Source organism: Homo sapiens, chromosome 1, assembly GCF_000001405.40.
Source record: "Homo sapiens chromosome 1, GRCh38.p14 Primary Assembly".
In the NCBI taxonomy this organism is placed as follows: domain Eukaryota; kingdom Metazoa; phylum Chordata; class Mammalia; order Primates; family Hominidae; genus Homo; species Homo sapiens.
In genome coordinates, this window is record NC_000001.11 from 165,237,026 (window position 1) to 165,258,791 (window position 21,766).

The 21,766-nt window shown below is 42.3% G+C and overlaps 1 protein-coding gene across 4 annotated transcripts in view, besides 1 other annotated feature; it reads right to left on the reverse strand.

The window, feature by feature from the left end:
- The window catches only part of LMX1A (LIM homeobox transcription factor 1 alpha), a 154,849-nt gene that overhangs the window by 35,159 nt on the left and 97,924 nt on the right, over positions 1-21,766 (reverse strand). For all 4 annotated transcript variants that reach the window (NM_177398.4, NM_001174069.2, XM_011509538.4 and 1 more), the window contains one exon: positions 12,383-12,615. In NM_177398.4, coding sequence (NP_796372.1) covers positions 12,383-12,615 — 233 coding nt within the window. The remainder of the gene's footprint in view (positions 1-12,382; positions 12,616-21,766) is intronic.
- Positions 16,812-17,384: an enhancer, noted in NCBI's record as "NANOG hESC enhancer chr1:165223074-165223646 (GRCh37/hg19 assembly coordinates)". NCBI's record gives its function as "activates a minimal SCP1, AML or CMV promoter by ChIP-STARR-seq in primed H9 embryonic stem cells {active_cell/tissue: H9 hESC(primed)}" and the evidence as "EXISTENCE:reporter gene assay evidence [ECO:0000049][PMID:30033119]".

A 21,766-nucleotide genomic window follows, 5' to 3' on the forward strand; every position in this document is an offset into this window, starting at 1 on the left:
TGCTACATACTCTGTACTCAAAAGTATTTGCTTGCTAGTCAAACTTCATACACTTCTATGTGTTCCACACCCCAAACCTAATCCTTGCCCAATGTAAATGCTCAGCAAATTCCTATGGATGGAACAGATGCTGAGTTAGTTCAGTCACTGCTTTCCCACCCTCACTGATTCCTAAGAAGGAATGCTTGTACACTCTCTATCTTTATTTATTTATTTGAGATGGAGTCTCGCTCTGTCGCCCAGGCTGGAGCGCAGTGGCACGAACTCAGCTCACTGCAACCTCCGCCTCCTGGGTTCAAGCGATTCTCCTGCTTCACTCTCCCAAGTAGCTGGGACTACAGGTGCCCACCACCACACCCGGCTAATTTTTTTGTATTTTTTAGTAGAGACGGGGTTTCACCCAGGATGGTCTCGATCTCCTGATCTCGTGATCCGCCCGCCTCGGCCTCCCAAGGACACTCCATCTTGAACACCATCTGGATCCACTGATCCCACCTAGCACACCCATGCACACACAATATGCAAATCCCTGATCAGAATCAGAAAAACAAAAACAAAACAAAACAAAAAAACCCAAGCATGCCTCCAGGTTCCAGCGTGCAAACCTGGAATTGGAACACTAAGAATCCAGATGGTTCTAAAATTACCCAGTTTCGAATATAATTTTACAGCACCAAATAGCAGAGTACCTAGTTTGCCACCAATCCTTAGTAAACTGGACTTTGAGGGTTTTCCTTGGTCACAGAAACCAGGGCACAGGGAAATATTGAAGGTGATTCTTCCATTTGCTCAGTAAACTGTCTAAAGCATCTTCAGATCCATCTTGAAACCTCTTGATGGAAATCTAAAGTTGGTAGGCTTGGCTGGAATGTCAGTGCAAGAAAACCAGTGTCTTCCCTGCACCTCCTCCCCGATCCTTATTACACAATAGAAAGTGAGTCCCTGGTCATTTAGCTCAGATATGAAAGACTGAAGTCATGGGTTGGCTCTGCATGTCCAGAGAATGCAATCCTAAAATTTACTAGTCATACTGCCCCATCATTGTACCCAAAGAGGACCCAATGTAAAGGTGGATAGACAGAAGCACATTGTCATCATTGCCACTGGAAAAACAAAATTGAGTTCATTTCTCTGAAGAGTACAATTGTAAAAGATGGTAGGACATTACAGGTCAGCTTGTAGAAGAAGCACGTTAGAAGAAGTTTTGATATGTACCAATTTACTTCACTGTCGTGCTTTTATTCATTTGATTGATGGGGGCTGTGGTTTGCACAGCTGATACCTCTCATCTGGACAAAAAGTCAACTGATTTTTCCTACTACTATCAAATAAGCCACAGGAGCAGAAGAACCAGGAGTTTGTTGAATAATTATAAACATAAAACAAAAAATCAGTAATAGTACCTTACGTGCACTTTTAAAGTACTTCCTCATTCATATAGCACATTGTCTTTAGATCCTTCAAAGCCTCCTATTGCCTTAGAAGAGGTACCCATGAGAAGTATAGTGATAGTGATTAATGATTAGGGAGGAACTGGAGGTTAAAAGCAAGGTGAACTTGTGACTGATTTTGAACGCGTGTGTAAACTCAGTTCAAATCACCTTGTTTTCATCGCTTTAATTATATATGAAAAGGTCCTTCAGTTGGGGTCTCTCAGGTAGTAAGTCCTACTGAGTACCTGGAGCACTGCCATAGCCAGCCAGAAAGAGCTGTCAGTGAAACCTGAGAACAAAACATAAGGTTCATTTTCATATACATGTACGTTTTAAATGACCAGGCAACACAGCATAGTGTTTAATGATGCAGGTGCTGGAGCTAGACTGGATGTGAATTCTGGTCCTTTCCATTGTTAGCTGTAGGACTGTAAGCAAATTACTAACTTTTCCATGTTCATCTTCTTCCTCTGTAGAACGGAAATAATAACATTGCTTTCCTCATCAACTTGGTGTGCAGAATAATTCATGTAAAATGCATAATTTAAAGTAATGCTTTGTGCAGAGTAAAAGCTCAATAATTGTTGACATCATTATCATCATCATCATGAAAAAATCATGATGTGATCATTTTCCCATTTGGCCAATTTTATTTTTTACAGAGGTGGAGCAGGAGAAATGAATGCACACAGATAACACACTATTGCTGATTAAATATGCTGTGAAGCAACTGCACAAATATTAACTTATGGTTTTCATTATTCATTTTAATCAAAATTATTGTGTGAACACATTTTCAAAAATAAAGTATGGTCAATGTAAAAAGGACAATGCATTGTCTGAACCTGTATATTGCCTCTAACTTTTTAAGCACTAAAGATAAACTTTACCCAACTCATAATTATAGCAAGGACTGAACCCCTCTGTTTCAGTATCAAGTGTCCTGACTCGGTAATTGGTAGAATTAAGTTCTTATTCTGGCTTATCCCTGGCTCAAGTATCCTGTGTCTTTATTTCTCCATCTACTTTATGAAGACAAAACAAATACACTAGAAGACAAAAGTTCAGCATAGAAAAGAAATGCTGAGCCTCAAACTAAGAGCAACAAACAATTCCGGTAGTGAATTTTATGGTAGTGATACTGTGTAAGAGACAAATCTGTTGATTTTGAAAACAATCTGAAAGGCTCAGGCAGTTCTAAGTGCTTCTTGCCTATCATCCAGAGATGCCAGATTAATAAATCGGGAAATGTTCATGAAGACCTTTGTACTAGTCATGATATAAATATGTGAACTCTTGATGTCTCCTTAATAAGAATAACAACAATAAAAATAGACAACAGTTATTACATGTTTACTGTATTCAGGCCACTGCACCAAGCCTTTGGGCCCAGAGATGATATCATTTGTGCCTTTTGTCTTATTCACAGCACCTGGCACAGTAAGTATCATTAAGACGTATTTATTGGCTTGACATTTAAGGAATTTATACCAATTCCAAAACGTGGGAATAGGTTTGCAAGTAATTGTGCTTTGAAGCAGTGTTTTTCAAACTTCTGTTATGACCCATGAGTAGCTTATGAAATTACTACAGTGGGCTAAAAATAGAATTTAAAAATAAATGGAATAGACAATATCAGCACATAGGGCAATCAGCAAGTCAGTCTAAGTGTTGAAACTTATATACACACCTATAAATGTGTATACTAGCTTATGATAAAAAATGTATTTTAAGATTTTCTGAAAAGTGCTACCATAGAGTCTTTTGAAAACATGACTCTAGAGGAAAATGTAAAATATGATTTAAATATATTTCTTCACAAATATGTTTAGCAGAGTACTTTTAAATACCTACTCAAGGTTTTTTTTTTTCTTTTTAAAGTGGCTTACCCTTCTGCTTCTTAAAAAGAAGAATGGCTAGATTGATCTCCAAGCTATGTCCCTTTTCCCATCTGCCAGCTCCTTTCTATCACAAAGCTGGCCCCTGTTCCCCTGACATTAAGATGTTGGCTTTGAGATGTTTTTCTCAATTGTGCTGCTCAGCATTCACTATTCCTCTGCCTTTCTTTTTCTGCAACTAAAACATAGCATTCAGCACAGAGTCCAACACAGTGTGGGTGTCTGTAAGAAATATTTGTTGAATTAAAGGTTGGTCAGGTGGCCGCCTGGAAGGACATAAATAGATTATGGCATGTAACAGAGTAATGCTAGCAGGCCTACTTAGGAATAGAGTAACTCTGGCTCAGCTGTACACTGCATTCATTAACTGTCAGGTTCAATGTCCTTTCTGGACTCAAAGACTCCAGTTGCAAGAGAAAAGTCAAGTCGACTCCGAAAGCAACTCATTTAAAGATGGGAGACATACCATCACCCTCAAACCAAGAGGCACAGAGAGCTCCATCCCCAGGATAACTATATGCCAGGAAGTGTAACGCTTAGGAATAAGGAGGCACTTAGGTATTTAAAATAGCTCAAATAATGACCACTGTATGCATCAGTTTTCTGGTCTATTAAAGAAAGGTAGCTACGTTTGATAAATCCTTCCCATTCTTGCTTGAAATTTCTATTAAATCTCAGAAGTAACTTCAAGACTGTTTTTCCCCCAGTCTTCTGCATTGACTTTCCAGGATGCAACACTAGCTAGCTAGGATGTTCAGAAACCAGAGAGTGCCTCTGAGACACACAGGCCCCATGGTATGAATCAGCCCATCTTTACTTTATGCACCCTAGCCACCCAAAATGACAGGCCCTATCTGTACCACCATGAGGTGCCCCAGGTATGCTATCCATAAGTGCCTAAAACCAAAGAGCAAAGACAGAAGAGGAGATACTTGCAAAATGATGGATCTTTGGTAAAATAAACTTATGACCCAGGAGCCATCCATAAATACACTGGCTCTCACACTAGGAGATGATAATGGTAACTGTCATTTATTGGACATTGATCAAGTTTCAAGCCCTTGATTTTCATTACCTCTTTTAGTTCTACAGCAACCCACAAAGGCTGTATTGTAACCCCCTATTTACCGATTAGGAAATAGAGTCCTGGAGAGGAGAAGTGGCTAGCTCAAAGTCACACTGCTTGTGAGTGTAGGGAAAGCATCAAAGACCTGTCTAGCTTTAGATCCTATGCACTACAATACGGAGGATGAGACTTCCTCATAACTTCTGCTGACCTTTTCTATCTTTCACTGGAAAATTCAGGACCATGAACTGACAAGGATAATCCCAGAGAAGAGTTGGGCATTTTCTAGAATTTGTGAGTTAACTGCTGCTTCTCTAGTCTAATTTATTGGAGAACAAGAAGATTTACAAGACAGGGTAGATGAAATACTTTTGTAACGAATTGAAAAAAACAGTTCCAAGGTTGTAGAAGGAAATTAAGACAAATGTCTAAATACGAGCAGTGGAGAGCATGGCCCAGAAGAGGAGAAAGAGACGTATTACACAATGAGAGTGGCAAGCGAGGCATTTGGATCTTCCAAATCAAAACATCCTATATCCCACAGAAAATTAGGAGGAAGAAGGATTCACAGACTCCAGCAGATGTGAGGAATCTTCTTTCTGGCTTCGGTGAGAAGAAAAGTTACACTGGAAGTTGATGCTTCTTTGCCAAGGACATCAGAGGCCAATATGAACAGGACAAAGTGAATTTATTCACACAATAAGCAAACATTTACTGAGTGCCTATTGCATGCCAGGCACCATGTTAGGGCCAGATGAATGCTGAACACAAGGAGTGAAGCAGCATAAGCCTCGCAGAGCAGTTCAGACTGCCCAATAAACGGAGGCTATGGAACTGCTGCGTTAATCCAAAACATAAAACATTCTTTGCAGAAAGGGGCCCTCATGACAGGGACTTCACAACCAGGCTTCCTCTGGGAAAATCCCTCTACAAAAGCAGAGCACCTAAAAGAGCCTTGCCTTAGCCAAGGAATAAATCCTAGGCATAATCTAAAATGCAAACTGGTCTTCAGGAAGAAAAAATTTTAAATGATACATAAAAAAGCAAAAAAAAAAAAGCATTTGGATCCCATGATAAAAGACACTAAAAGGAAATAAAGATATTGTTTGAGATAGCAAAAATGAAATTCTGACTCAAGATTTTTCAGTGATTCCAAAAATGAAGAAAAAAGGAAGGCAATTTAACATAAAACTAATTGCATCCCAGCACTTTGGGAGGCTGAGGCGGGCAGATCATGAGGTCAGGAGATCAAGACCATCCTGCCTAACATGGTGAAACCCCATCTCTACTAAAAATAAAAAAAAAAAATTAGCTGGGCTAATTTTTTCTCAGGTGACTTCTGATTTTAAAAGAAAATGTAAAGATAACATTTAGGCGGGTGCCTATAGTCCCAGCTACTTGGGAGGCTGAGGCAGGAGAATGGCGTGAACCCGGCAGGTGGAGCTTGCAGTGAGCCGAGATTGCGCCACTGCACTCCAGACTGGACAACAGAGCGAAACTCCACCTCAAAAAAAAAAAAAAAAAACAAAACAAAAACATAAAACAACTAATTGCAGCACGATGTACTGGATTCAATTCTGGAATGGATAAAAGTCATTAATGAAAAAATTTCATGAAATGGGATAATGTCTATCGTTCAGTTGAGGGTTATACCAATGTTAATTTCTTAGTTTTGATAAGTGTACCATGGTTATGTAAAATGTTAGCATTACAGGAAGCTGAATGAAGGGTATATGGAAACTTCTGTCCTATTTTGCAACTGTTTTGTAAATTTAAAAAACATTTTTATTTTTAAAAGTTTTTAAAAACTGCTTCACAGGACACTCTCAGACGACTTCTGATTTTAAAAGAAAATGTAAAGATAAGAGGGGTAGATAAGTAAGAAATGCAACATGGACCAGCCAGAAGCCATGGTTACCCACAGCCAGGCCCCAAGCCCCTGCCTCCGCCCCCAGGTCAAAAAAGCTAATGAAATCATGGGCTACATCAACAGAACATAATATCTATGACAGGCAGCAATAACACTGTGCTGGTTCAAACCACATAAGGAAAACTGTATCCCCTTCTTGGTTGTACCTTTGAAAAAGATCGTAGTATTTTCATAGATAGAAAACAGAAAGTCTGTAATGAGGGCTAGTTAGAATAATGAGGAAGAACTAGAAAGGAAAAGACAAAACTTAGAAAATATCTTACATCTTAGGGAGCATTTCTGTCTTGAACTTGAAGGGTTGCCCCATGTAGAGGAAACACTTACTTTGTGAGTTCCCGAAAGTACGGCCAAGACCATGGTTTGAGTTTACATACGGAGACCGATGTTGGAATTCAATGTAACAGTTCTGACAATTTACCCCCAGAATTGAAGTCAAGGGCTCCTGTGATATTGTGAAATATATATTTGGTCTTCATCTAGTTTCTTGACAAAAAGCTACTAAAATCCTTGAACACTCCATAGTGATAAGAGTATCTTTTGTTGGCTAATGGTAGCTGGGAGCCCCTAGGTTATTTCAGGATGGGGGCTGGTCACTGGAAAGGCCAAGGCATGATTGGAAGGTTGGGACTTTCAGCCCCAGCCCCTAACCCCTAATCCTTCACCTCTGGGGAGGGGAGAGAGGCTGAAGGTTGAGCTGACCACCAATGGGTAATGATGTAATCAATCATTGCCTATGTAATAAAACTCCCACAAAAACTCAGAAGGACAAAGCTAGGGAACTTCTGGATAGCTGAAATGTGGAGGTTCCTGGAGGGGTGCATCCAGAGAGAGCATGGAAGCTCTGCACCCCTTCCCCCATACCTTGCCCTATGAATTTCTTCACCTGTCTGTTCATCTGTATCCTTTAAAATATGCTTTGTGGTAAATGAGTAAATGTAAGTAAAGTGTGAGCTGCTCTAGAAAATTTAGTCAACCTGAAGATGAGGTCCTAGGATCCGCAATTTATAGCCAGTGAGTTAGAAATATAGCTGACAACCTACTACTTGTGATTGATTGGCCTCTTAAGCGGGGTGGGGTCTGGCAGTCTTGTGGGATCAAGCTCTTAACCTGTGGGATCTGATGTTACCTCTAGGTAGACAGTGTCAGAATTAAATTGAATTAAGGGATACCCAGCTGGTGTCCACTGGAGAATTGCTTGGTATGTGGGGAAAACCCCTACACAGCTGGTGTCAGAAGTGTCATGTGGAGTGGAGAGCAGAGAGGAGAAAAAGCAATTTTTTATTTTTCCCCTCTATCTCTTTAGCTCTCCATGATGGGAAATGACCAAGTAGAGACTGGATAAGCATCTGATGGGAACTTGGACTGGATAAACTCCAAAGTGTCTACCAATCTCAAGAGCTCGTGATTCTCTGGTGAAGGAAAAGAGCTCTTCTAGACACTTCTCTAGAAGTTTGTAAATGTTGGGGAGTCTCTCCTGGAGACCTTGGGCATCCAAGTTGCCCAGTGTCAAAAAAAAAAAATCATCTGACTCTGGCTACAAATTCCATTCATCTGCTTGGGAGGCTGCTTCAAGGCCATCAGCAAAGCAGGGACCAGGACAAAAAGGCTGGGTCACACCAGAAAAGGGCACACAGCAGTTGCAGATGTCCTGAGTTTGGTATCCCATGTAGCTGTGAACGTGTCACATGCTTTTGTGTAAGATCAGTCAGCATCACAGAACCATAGATTCTTTTTTAAAAAATAATTTCAACTTCTATTTTAGATGCAGGGCATGCATGTGCAGGTTTTTTACATGGGTATACTGCATGATGCTGAGGTATGGGGTACAAGTGATCTGATCACCCAGGTAATGAGCACAGTACCCAAGAGTTAGTTTTTCAACCTTTGCCCCCCGCTCTCCTTCCTCCCTCTAGAATCCTAGATGTAAGCCACCCTAGAGGTCATTGATGCAGTCTTCCACCAACTGCAATTAAAATGTTAAGGGACAAGCAGTTTATTTCCCATAAAGGCAATCCAGTTTGACCCTTTATCAGACACAGTTCTACCCTACGTTGAACCAAAATCTGTCATTTCTTCCCCAGTACATGGGTCGGCAACCTTGGGTGTGACTCTCATATGTTCCTTGGCCTTATTTTTACTTAATATACTGAGTCTCTTTAATTATTTATGATTTAACAAGCTAATTACTCTCCTCAAGATTCTCTCTGGTTCGTCAATGACCTCCTCAAATGCATCATTTAAAATTAGCCCACATATTCTAAATGTGCTCTGACCAGGGCAAAAAAAAAAAAAATACTGAAACTATAATTACACATTAGGGACACTGTAGTTCTATTAATGCAGCATGTCTTTTTGGCTCCTATTGGATTTATTGCCCACTATAACCCCATGTGGAATTCCCTCAAAACAGGCACTATTTCATACAATTACAATTGAATTTTGGGAGACAATGGTTAGATTTCATCTTGCTGTCTTTGCGCGGTTCTGCTAGCTTGTCAAAATCTTTTTGAACATCGGGAGTATCCACTGCCACACCAGCCTTCCCTGCCAGGTTTGTGTCATCTGTAAACCAAATAAACCTGCCTTCTGTGTCTTCATCCAAGTCATTGATAAAAAGGTTAAGGATACTAGATCAGTCATTCACTCAACAAACACTTATCAAACACCTACAATATATACGTAAGGTGCTCAAGACAGAAACCAGAGGATAAACTGTATTTGTACTGAGGCAGATCCTAAAGTTGTTTGCTTTCTGTTAACAATGAGATGGACTTCATTCCATGAAGATTTAATTCAATTCATTAGGTACTTATTGATCACTTACTCTTCTCTTGGCATCATGCTAAGCTTTGTTAAGGAAACAAAGCAACCAAAAGCTACAACCCTGTTCTCTAGAAGTTTGTCCTCTCAGTAGAGAGGCAAGCTTTGGCACACAGAAAATTTTATGATACAAGACAGGCAGCATTGATATAATTGATGAAATGAGTAGTTCAGATAAGATATTTGATTCTGGTTGAGGCTTTAATGTCACTTCATTTAAAACTACAACAATAATTATAGATTTTTAGAGTTGAAAGCGATAACAGAGGTCTTCTAGAACTACCCTCCCCTCCCACCTCATCAATATTACTTTCAATGAATAGGGAGTGCTATCTCTTGAGTAGTTTTACTCTTTGTTAGATCTAATAATTAGAACGACATTCTAGCATTTCCTGTGTTAAATCAAAAATTACTTCCCTGTACCTTTCTATCTAAAGTGTAAACACTCAGTAATTTTGTTGGATAATTAAATGAATGAATTCTAAATCTGTTCTCTGAAACTGGAAAAAAATAGGTCTGATCTAATCATTTGAAGGCAACAATTATGTCCTCATTCAGTCTTGACTTCTTTATCCTAAACATACACAATTCCTTCATTTGATATGGTTTTGGGACCTCCCCATCCCCACATCATTCTTGTCATTCATATTTTGACTCTGTGCCTGGCATGATACAAGCACTCAAGATATGTCAACTGAATTAATACATGAATGAATAAACTGGAAAGCTCCAATATGTCAATATCAGCCTCAAAGAGAAATTTCCATAACTGAACATATTGCTGAAAATGTGATCAGAAAGTGAACCTGTTGCAGTTCCCTGGTACTGAGCATTATAATTCTATTAATCTGTAAATGTTACTTAGATCAGATCAGCTTTTTCTTTTTTTTTTTTTTTTTTTTTTTTTTGCAGGGTTAGGGGCGTGGAGCCAATCCACTAATGCCTCTTATTGATTTTCTAGTGAAGTAAAATCTGTAAACCGTTAACATAGGTCCAACTGTATAACTTAGTGATTAAGCCTCCAGACAAATGTTTATCATGAAAGGCTAGACCACAGCATTTATTTCCATGTGAGAAAGCACAGTATGTCCCTCTGGGTATATACATCTTTCTATGATGATGCTGTATTCTAATCACCATAACACCTAAGCCCTTGGGAAATTCGAAATTCTACAGGATTTTGAGGAGGAAGCCTAAGAGGGCGGACACAGCAAGATACCTGGAGGAAAATGACAGGGTAAATTGGCCTTTCTATACCAAGTGTATACCCATTAGAATGGGCCCAACTACCCCTGAAGAAGATACTCCATATGTTAGTGCCAGTGTTCCTGACAAGGAGAAATTTCCCTCAAATCAAAATAAATCCAGGAAAACCTAAGGCCAATAAGACCAGTAGAAGTTGGGGCTTTCCTGATGCCAGCTTTCTTAAGGCTGCAAGCAAGTTCAGGCAAGAACTAACCTGGAGGTAAAGGGAGCCGAACACGGCTGCTACAAAGATGCTAACACTGACTAGTGGATGTTAAGCACCCACATTTATTGAACACCAGGCTTTTTATATGCATTCTCTCTCATTCTCCAACAATAAACCTATTAGTAGGTATGATCATCACCATTTTATAGCTGTGGAGATTGAGGCTTAGAGAGGTTCCAAAATTTGCCCAAAGTCACAGAGATATAGTGATATAACCTGGCTAAGGCACCCCACTTGTCTGTCTCCAAAGCTTTTGCACTTAAGCACCATGCCATAATGGTTTTTCTTCATGTGTTTATTCACTCTTTAACAAAGAGTTTATCAAGCACCCAGTGTCCCAGCCTGTGCTAGACCTGGGAATATAGTGGTAAATAAGACATACACTGTCCTTCACACAGTTTAGCACTCTGAAAAGAATAAGAAACAATCAAACATGTAACTACAATGAAGTAAATATCCCAGTAGGAGAAGTTAAGGGTAAACTCACCCAGCATGAGGGATTAAGAGACCTTCCCCATAAAGTTGCCTTTTGGATAAGCTAGCAGGACAAAAGAGAGAGGGAAAGAGGCTGAAAAGGAATAGACTTTTAAGATTTGAGAGTAGATGAGACACAACGACAGGTGCTAGGGCCTAGTAAGGCTGGAGTGAAGGGTGGGAGTGATCAGAAACTCCCAAAGAGGCCAAAGGGATGGATAGAGTGAGGTTACAGGGGGCTTGGAAATGGACTAGAATTGGCAATGGCAAGAACTAGTAAGGTCACATAGATGTTACCTAATTGGATCTCACAGATTCCTATGGATAAGATGAATGCTGAGCTGTGGGGACCAACACTCCAAAAAGGCATTCCATGTTTAATGTAGTCAGTGTTAATTTAATGTAATTTCTCTGACCTTGTGAAACCTGCCCTATAAAATCTCTTAACCTCGCCTGTCTCCTCTCTTTCGCCAACCCTCAAGGCAGTAAGAGGGAGGGTCGAGCGGGTGGTGAGGAGAAAGAACGAAATCATTCTAGTGCCTTTCTTTATGTGACCTGCCAAGCCTTAGATAGATTCCATCTTTCCCACTTGACAAATGAGGAAACAAAAGCTTAGGGCAGTTCAGTGATTGTGGTAGACTGAATTATTGGTTCCAATCCATCATCCTCTTTAATAGTATTATGTATCTATACCTGGGCAAGGGTTTGTGGTGCATGGAGTATATTTCTCCTCCTCTTGACTTTGGATTTGATATTGCCATTTGCTTTGGCCCATGGAATATTAGCAGACATGATGTGTGCAGAAGCTTGAAATGTGCTCTGTGGTTGGGCATGCCTTCTTGCACTTTTACCACTGTCAGAAGATCATGCCCTGCAGCTGCTGTTCCCCAAACCTGGATCCTGGAATGAATGGCACAGAGTATACCTAAACCTTGTCTACAGGCTGGAGCTAAGCTCAGCTGAGATCAGCAGACTCCAGCTAACTGGAAGCCTGAAGCAAAGTCCAGTTAACTCCAGTTAACCCGGACATTTCTGTGTGTGTGTGAAGTGTTTATGGTTGTATGCCATGGAATTTGAGGGTAATTTGTTATGCACCATTGTCATGGTAATCACTGACTGATAAGAGATTACTCTGAGCTTACAAAGAAAGTTCCTGAAATACACAGAACTGCCTTGCCATGGAGCTAGGCTGCCCTGGAGGCTGGCCATCTAGGGAAGAAACAATGCAGACAGCCACCCAACTCCACTCTACCCACCCCACCGCAGCCCTGCCCACCACCTGGCACTCACCTGAGTCTGAGGCTGCTGGGCTCACCAGGCTGAGCAGCTCCCGCTCCTTCTCATAGTCCCCTTTGCAGAGCAGCTGCCCCTCCTTCAGGACAAACTCATCACCCTTCTGAAGCTGTCGCTCGCAGACACAGCAGCAGAAGCAGCTCAGGTGGTATACACTCTTCTGGGCCCGCATAACAAACTCATTGGGAGCGATGGCCTCGAAGCAGCCCCCACATTTAACAGCAAACAGCCTGGCAGCAGGGAGAAAGGAAGTACATGCACCATGAGTAAAATCTGGCTTGGTCCTGGGTCTCCCCTGAAGTCAACAGCAAAAGGAACTTCAAGAACTGGGATATGAACGTTAGAATGGAATGTACTTTAAATCCAGGTTATTTATTCCCTAAGGAGATTGAATTGAAGCATTCAGTTGAGTCATTCAAAGGCTTAAGAAGGGTGTCTGACTGGATAAAGGAAATGTGGTACATATACACCATGGAATACTATGCAGCCATAAAAAGGAACAAGATCATGTCCTTTTCAGGCACATGATTGGAACTGGAAGCTATTATCCTCGGCAAACTAATGCAGGAACAGAAAACCCATCACTGCATGTTCTCACTTATAAGTGGGAGCTGAACAATGACACATGGACACAGGGAGGGGAACAACACACTCTGGGGCCTGTCAGGGGGTGGGGTGGGGGAAGGGAGAGCATTAGGAAAAATAGCTAATGCATACTGGGCTTAATACCTAGGTGATGGGCTGGTAAGTGCAGCAAACCATCATGGCACACGTTTACCTAGGTAACAAACCTGCACATCCTGCACATGTACCCCAGAACTTAAAATAAAATTAAAAATTAAAAAAAAAGAGGAGTATCTGAGTTAATGCCCAGAATGTATTTGCTGTGGTTCATGACACAGTGCTTTCAAAGGTTGGTCTACAGACTGGCGCCAGGCAGGCTGTTCAGAATCCCTGGGGGAGCTTATTATTTAAATTATTTAAATCAACAATAACAAAAATGTCCAGGCCCACTCTTATCAGCATATAAAAGGATGTGCCCCAGATTGTGAATTCTTAATAAGCTCTTGAGGTGTGTAAGAGCTTAAATGTGTAGTCTAGTTTTTGAGAAACTGCATCCCAACTTCCCAGCCTGATATTCAATAGATTCAGCCTATCTCTCAAGACTTAACTCTTCTTTCATTTATTTTCAACACAACAGTTAGACTATCTATTATATATGCCAAGCCAAAAGCAGTAAGTGCTAGTGATATGAAGATGAATAAAGGAAAATCCCTCTCAGAATTGAGTTCAGGCTAATGGAAGAAACAGACATATCCAAATAATTAAAGTAGAGGGCTGTGGGAGTACAGAGGGGAAAACAACTAACCTGCAGGGAGTGAGCAGGGGGTGCATTTAGTATGTATTCAATACATATAAGTCAAACAAAAGACAGTAAGGAAGCCAGGCTGGCAGGCACAAAGGGGTGGGAGGAGGGACAGTCCCAGGGGAGGGAACAGCCTGTGTGAAGGCCTGGAGCCACGAACAGGCATGGATGCTCAGGTTGTAAGGTGCACTCCACCAAGTTAGAGGCAGGTACCTCCAGAAAGGTGACAGGTGAGGTTAAGTCATGACCCAATCACACACTAAGGAGCTGGACATCATCTGGCAAGCAATTGGGAGTATTGAATGGCTTTTTTTTTTTTTTTCTGAGACAGAGTCTCACTTTGTCGCCCAAGCTGGAGTGCAGTGGCGTGATCTCGGCTCACTGCAATGTCTGCCTCTTGGGTTCAAGCGATTCTCCTGCCTCAGCCTTCTGAGTAGCTGGGATTAAAGGTGCATGTCACCATGCCCAGCTAATTTTTGTATTTTTAGTAGAGATGAGGTTTCACCATGTTGGTTAGGCTGGTCTTGAACTCCTGACCTCAAGTGATCCTCCCACCTCGGCCTCCCAAAGTGCTAGGATTATAGGCATGAGCCACTGCTCCAGGCTTGAATGGTTTTTTAACACGGTAATATCCAAGTTCTGGAAAAGGAACTCTTGGCTGTATGAAAAGTGGAATGGAAATGGAGGTAGCGAGATGAGTGAGCAGCTGAGAAATTATCAGGGTCAGGACTCATACAGCAGAGGTAAGACAGAAAGAAGGGGGCAGAGCCTACAGCTGGAAGATAGGAAAGCATGGGGCATGGCTCCCAGGGTCCTGGTGGTCAGAGCTGGCAGGTAATGATAATGCCAAGACTCCAGTATACAAAATTACTCATTTCCTACCTCTGGGCCTGTTTATGCCATTTCCCCATTCTAGAAAGCCTTCCTTTCCTGTTTAATATATCTGAACCCAAACCACCCTTCAGGACACAGCAGCTTCCATCTTCTCCTTGAATCCTGCCCTGATCTGTGCCCCCTAGCCTGAAGTGACTGCCCCTCCTTTGAATGATGATACCAGGAACTATCTCTGTGGGTCATTCCACAGTTATCCGGAGATGTCTCAAAACTACAATATGAAAAGTGGTGGGCACTGGAGGCCTGGGCTCTGCTGCCAGCTCTACAGATAACCATGCAAAATCTTGGGCAGGTTGTTTAGCCCGCCCCTTCATATTTCCTTTTTTCTGTCTGTTGTTAAGATGTTAGGCCAGTCTCCTCCAGCAACAAAAATTCTACCATCAGAGTTTGCAATTGCTGGCTCAAAATATTATCTTACTCTTGCCTTATTATTTTACTTTTCCCAAGTTTATAACTTATCTTGTCAACAGCTCCTATTTCAAGAACAAGGCCTATGGAATATTTATATACTCTCACACATGGTGGGTACTCACTAAAAGTTGATATTATTTGACTCATGGATCTAATTTGTTCACCCTCTTTCTGAAATAACATAATATATATAAACAGTCTAGCATAGGAGCTGACACATAATAGATATCCAATAAAGATGTCTCTCTTCTCTTCCTTGTCACTCCAGAGAAATCATAGTTCAGGGCAACCTATGAAAAAACTAAAATTTAAAGCAGATCCCTCTGTTTCTTTTTTCTTTTTAAAATTGCTTGATGATACCATAATTGCATTTGTCACAACTTTGGCATAAGCACAGAGACAATATACCCTAAGAATATCTCTGGGATTCATTCACTATAGCATTCATTTTACTATTTCCAAAATAAAGAGGTTTTTTTCTTTTTAAAGTAGCAGCAAAATAGAGGCAAAAATACTTTCAAAAACACTCTTTTCATACCCACATGACAGAGAAGTCAGTAGATACGGAAAGGTCAGATAGCGTACAGGAGAGAAAGTCAAGGGGGCACAGAATGGCCAGAGAGAGCAGATAAAACTCCACACCACTCTCCTCTTTATAAAGCTAGATATGAGCTGACTCAGAGCCTATCCAGGGAGATGAGGCCACCTTGCTCTGCTAATGAGCCCCACCCTGGCAGTAGCTAAGAAAACATGAACAACTGAAGAGCATTTTCCTATACACAGGCCAACTACCATGATGGCCTAAGGGTTGCCAATCCATTCACTCAAAATCTCATTCATGCACTCATACAATCATTTATTCTTTTCATTCATTCTTTCATTTATTCAGAAGCATCCACTATGCACCCTGAAATATACCAAACTCTGTGTCTTTATAGGGAGGGCAGGAAAAGAAACCACCATCCCAACAGCATTCATGTACATAAACAAGTATATACTGAGTGTCTGTTATGTGGTAGAAATTGTTGTAGGCACAAGAGGATACAAGACAGACAAATCCTTGACCTCATGTAGCTCGCATGCTAGTGGGAGAGAGTAAACAAACACATAAACGAATAGATAAATCATATCTACATTTAGGGATTTACCTTTAGGAAACAGGATAAAAGAACAATACAAAGCAATGTCCCATGAATATAAAATAGAATGGCATAAAGCTATAGTATATATAATTATAATATTTAATCACCTCCCAACTCTAAATTGTGCGGGTTTATGATTCTAAGTCAATACATGTGCACTGTGTGTTTATCTTGGAAGCTTCCTGGAAGAAGACAAGAGTTTTGAGGGTGGAATGAAGGGGAAGCTAAGGAGAAGTTCCCAGGGAGGCATTACTCACAGGTTGACACAAAAAAAGAGGGCCATTCTAATTCTTTGAGTGAAGGAAGGCAAGGCTTGGAAAAGATGATGAAGCCACCTCTCAGGAAACAGCCTCCTGGAACAGAGGCCAGGCTGCAGGATTGGAAGTGCTTGTGCTGTGTTACTTTCAACAGCTGCCTGGAAGCACCACACCAGTCCTCCTTGCCCTTGGCCATCAGAAGCACCTCAGAATAACCTATCTCGATATGCTTCTCCTCTGCCTCTCAGCTTCAGAAAGGAAGTGAAATTGGGGGATAGTCCAAGGGGTTGGAATGGCTCGTTTATCACTAACAGGTATGATAGAGCCTGGAACTCCAGGTTCCAGCTGCCCTTCCCCTGTCCTCTCGCCCAGTGTGGTTTTTCTCTCTATGTCTAAACCTCTGGCACATCAGTCCTTTGACTATTTGCCTTGACTCCCTCTCCCCTATGCTGGATGCTGTCATTGGGCAGAAAATCCACCCAGTTCATCCCTGGGCCCCAAGTCCCCGGTTGCTGTTTGCCAACCTGAGCAAACTAATCAATGCTTTTCCAGGAGCTGGTCAAAGGCCCTTTGTCCCCAAGCTCTCCTTCTCCTCCCCTTCCCCTGGAATTAACTGTTAAACAGACTCAAGGCAAATGCTCCCAGGGAGTCAACAAGCACTTGAGAAGCTGCAACAGCAGGTGGTAGCATCTGTGCTTGTCTAACTTCCACCCTGCTAATCTCCTCCTCTTTTTCTTGCTTTCTTAATTTCATCCCCCACTCCAAAAATTTCCCCCAAGTTGGAGAAGGGAGGGTTGGAGTGAGTTCAACAAAGAAAGCCCACCATGTTGACTCAGGAGTCGCTAGAGGAAGTGGCGGGAGTTGTCTGGGCTCAAATCCTGAAATGGTCATGGTCACTGGGGATTACAGACCAGGAAGAGTGGGGCAGTCCTGTTTTTTTCTTCTCTCCTTCTGTTTTTCCCTCCCTTTCTGGGTTCAAACCAGATCAACTTCGTCTTACTACCTTGACTCCTGTTATCTTCACTAACCCCAGAGTAATTCAAGGAGAAAAGGTGCATGTGGTCCACCACCTGTGTGCCAGATGTATACACAGCTGTACGGCTACCGCTGTGGACCCAGCTGCTGACTGTACACCTCCCACAAGTTGTTTTCTCTAAGGCTCAGACAAGCAGAGAAAAGGGTTTGTTCAAAAGTCCAGGTCATAATTAAAACACAGCCTGTCTCTTCCTAATGCTCTGGATGGCATCCCCCATGGTTACTTCCCCCACTGAATGCTAATGAGACATCGCTGAGGGTTCAGAGCCTGGCAGCCTGGCTGTGCCCTGGCAAGCTGGAAAAGGCTTCCAGAGATGTCCAGCTCATCAAGGCATACATAACACCACCCAACTTTCCTTGATGTCATAAATTCTCCTACCCCTGAAAGCTCTGCAAATGATTCCTTATCTCCTCTTTGCATTTAATTCCCTCACCTGTAAAATGGGAATAATAGTATCTACCTCCTGGAAAAGCATCCATGGCAGTACTAGTTGCAGAGACTAAGCACTCAGTGCTGTTCCTCTATTGATCACTCTCTGTGGGGAAGGCTCTGGGGATGCCGTGATAAATAAGGCTGTCCCTCTCCTTAGGGAGTTCACATTCTCTGGAAGGCAGCAGACTCTAAATAAATGACCTCAGTAGGATGTGTTTGGGATATGCAGAGAGAAATAGCTGGGAATAGCACAAAGAAGAGACCTATGCGCTTAGCTTAGGCTAAAGGTCACAGAATCTTTTGTCTCACACTTCATCTTCTTTTCTTCTTTCTCCCTGCACCTCCTCTCACTCTCTCTTTTCCACTCACTCTGCCAAGCAGGAAAATAGAGGTTGGCTGAAATGCTATTCAATGCCTTGCTTACATCTCTTCTTGCACAGCTGCAAGCTATAAGATGCATAACTTTCAGTTTTGGTGAGAGAGCCTGGGTTCTCAGGTTCTGCCACATCCAGGCAGCATGACTGGGAGAACACCACTTCATCACTTGCTGCCTCCGTTTGCTTTGATGTAAAAGGTAATAATGATGCCTTCATCTCTGGACTAATGAGGATTAAATGTACATGGAGTACTTTGTGACCTATAAGGTGTAGTGCAATTTTTTGGGCCTTTATCATTTGACCTTTGCAGATTTTTCTTTCTTGCCTCAAACATCGTTCTTGTTGCTTAAGAATTTTATGAGTTCTGGTCAGGTTCAGTGGCTCACGCCTGTAATCCCAGCACTTTGGGAGGCCGAGGTGGGCGGATCACCTGAGGTCGGGAGGTCGAGACCAGCCTGGCCAACATGGTGAAACCCTGTCTCTACTAAAAATACAAAATTAGCCAGGCATAGTGGTGCATGTCTGTAATCTCAGCTACTCAGGAGGCTGAGGCAGGAGAATCGCTTGAACGCGGGAGGCAGAGGTTGCAGTGAGCCGAGATCACACCATTGCACTCCAGCCTGGCAACAAGAGCGAAACTCCGTCTCAAAAAAAAAAAAGAATGTTGTGAGTTCCATTCTAAGAGAACACTTCCTCCGCAGCATGAGCGTGGGCATGACTTTGACATGGGCATGACTGCATCTCCAGAGCATAGTGCTGACCCAGAAGATGAACCAAGGAGACACACTGCTCGTGGTGCAGGCAGAACATGCTCCTTACACCAAGCCGTGGGCGTCTCTCCCTCTCTCCACCAAATCGGATCGAAGCAGTATTTCTTGTAACCAAACTCAGCCATCCTGCCCTAGGTGAGGTGTTGGGGAAAGAACACGGGACTTGGCATGAGAAATCTGGGCTCAAAAGTGCTGCCTTTTCCAAGGGACCTCAGAAAAGCCACCACCTTTCCCTGAATCTTGGTTATCTTATCATCCATTTCTCAATGGAAAAGTTCTGTCCTAGATCAGAGTTGTCAAGAACTTAGAGGCTGAGGAGGAAGGATGACTCTGTTTCCTAGGTCTCCACACACTTTCAACCAGAGAAACCCACTCCATTCACACCTAAATTCAGGTCTCCAGATAGTGTTTTACCATGACACTGCCTTGCTATGGTAATTCTTAAACAAAATCTTTTCCAGAACCATATCATTCAAATATATATAAATATAAAACAGCTAAAGCCAAAAGACATGATATCTATTCTATTAATAGAAGAGTATCATTGGAAGACAACATTTTGCTCCTAAGGCAGGTTGGAAACCCACTAGGCTGGATAATTTCTTACTCCCATTTTTATATTTCAAGCTTTTATTACAGGAGTTGAGAAGCCTCCTCTGTAACCAAGGAGACAAGAATGTTTCAAAAGCACATATGAAGGTTTGATGCCTGAGAAACTACTAGTGGACAAGTCTATGACAATCAACAAAGAAGCACTGAATTTCGGGATGCAACAGCACACCCCTGTACTGCAGGCATTACGGTAGCAAGATGACAACACACCGAGACACCCTAGGGACTCCTGGATTTCAGTGCCTGTTGTGTAACCTTAGGAAAATCACCCTACTGTTCTGAACATCAGTGTCTTCATTGTTAGAACATATTTCAGCTCCAAAAATCATATTTCTGCAAAGGAAGGGGGCTTGTGGAGGACAGGAAAAAGAGAATTAATCTTTATTGAGTACCCACTCAGTGCTAGAAAGTGTGATATTCTTTTTACCCATTATCTAACTAAATTTGTGGGATGGGGTAAATAGAACTATTTTATGAACTCAAAGAGAATCTGACCATATTTCAGTTCTCTCCGTAGGAGAGAACCACTCTGGGATGGCGAACTCATGGGTCCTGTTTTGTATTTCTCTCTCACATGCTCTCTAGCACTGTCTTCATAGGAGAAACATGTAGAAAGATCAAGCAGTTAAGATGGCAGCCTCAGCTCATGAGGGGGTCACGAAACAGGCCCATGGTTTTGTAGAAGGTCTTGAGACTCCACTGCAGACATGTAGGTAGGTGAAAGGCAGGAGTTAAAAAAAAAAGTTGATCCCTTGAGGCTACTCAGCTCATGGACCCCAAAATACCCAAAGGGATTTCTGAAAGAGGCCTACCCTCTATGGATGTGGGTTAGGAACAAATAGTGTGTGGGGACACTCTGACCCAACACCACCAGCCAAGAGTCTACTGTGACTCCAAAGAGATTGGGAAACAAGACAAATCTTGCTGGAACCCCATTCCCTTGGGAGCCTGGCAAGTCAGGTCATTCTTTTCAAGATATAGGCAGAAATGTAGCCAATGGGGACAGGGTTGGACCCAGGAAGACCTGAGGAAGTCCACCCAGAGAGAGGCTAAGATCTTCATCAACCTCATCCCAAAGTCCTGCAGACCTTAAAAAGAGCTTCTCAAAGCCTCCACAACATAGACAAAAAAGCAGAAGGATGGAGGACAAGGCAAACCCATGAAAAACCCTGATGCCAGTTTGAGCCAACTGTAGTGTACTGTGTTTGCCCCCACCAAAATAAGAAATCACAGCCATCTGTAGCTTTGGACAGTAGTCTACTACAGTTCAGCTGTCTTTCTCCAGGCACCACCGATATGAGTTTTGATGAGATATATGAACCCTCCGGTTTAGAAAGTAACAGAGGGTTTGGGGCAGCTCTTTAACAAGGCAGGAATCTGTGTATCATTCAGTTTCCACCTCTCCACCAGGGGGCAGCATAGCAGCATTCATTCAGTGCCATGTTGACTTGGTAACTGAGGTCATCCAGGCAGAGACAGGGATTGGCCATAAGCCAAAACTGTCTGCCGGAAAATCTGCTGCTGGGAGTCTGGGAGACCATGTGGCTAAACTGAAGGAGAGATGGTGAGAGAAGGGTATTCAAAAGTATTGGGAACCAAAAGCATGGCTTGTGGCCTTAGAAGTAGTGACACAAGCAACCTTGTCAGCTGGCTCAAGGTCTCTGTCCTTGAGGCTGAGCCAACAACACCACAATAAGCAACTGAGCACATGGTCCTGGGGTGGTGGGAAAGTCTGCATGGACAATAGAGTGGCAGGATCTTCTATAGGAGACAGTCTCAAGACTCTGCAGTGGTGAGAAAATGGGAAACAATAAGTGGCTGGCAGAGCCAATCAGGGTCTCTGTCTGCCTGCAGCTCCTGGGGAGCTATAAGGAGGACCATACAATGGGATGAACGAGTGGGAGTGAGAACTGCTAAGTATGATGTCTGCACGTCCCAGAGGCTCCGCAAGGCACTGGCCTCACCAAGAAAGGCAGGGTAATGCACATGGTTTTTCATCTATCACAAATGTTGCTGGCGATGGGTGGTTTCTACCTTGAAATGGTAGACTAACTAAGTGCTTTTCTTGTTCTCGCAAGGTGTCC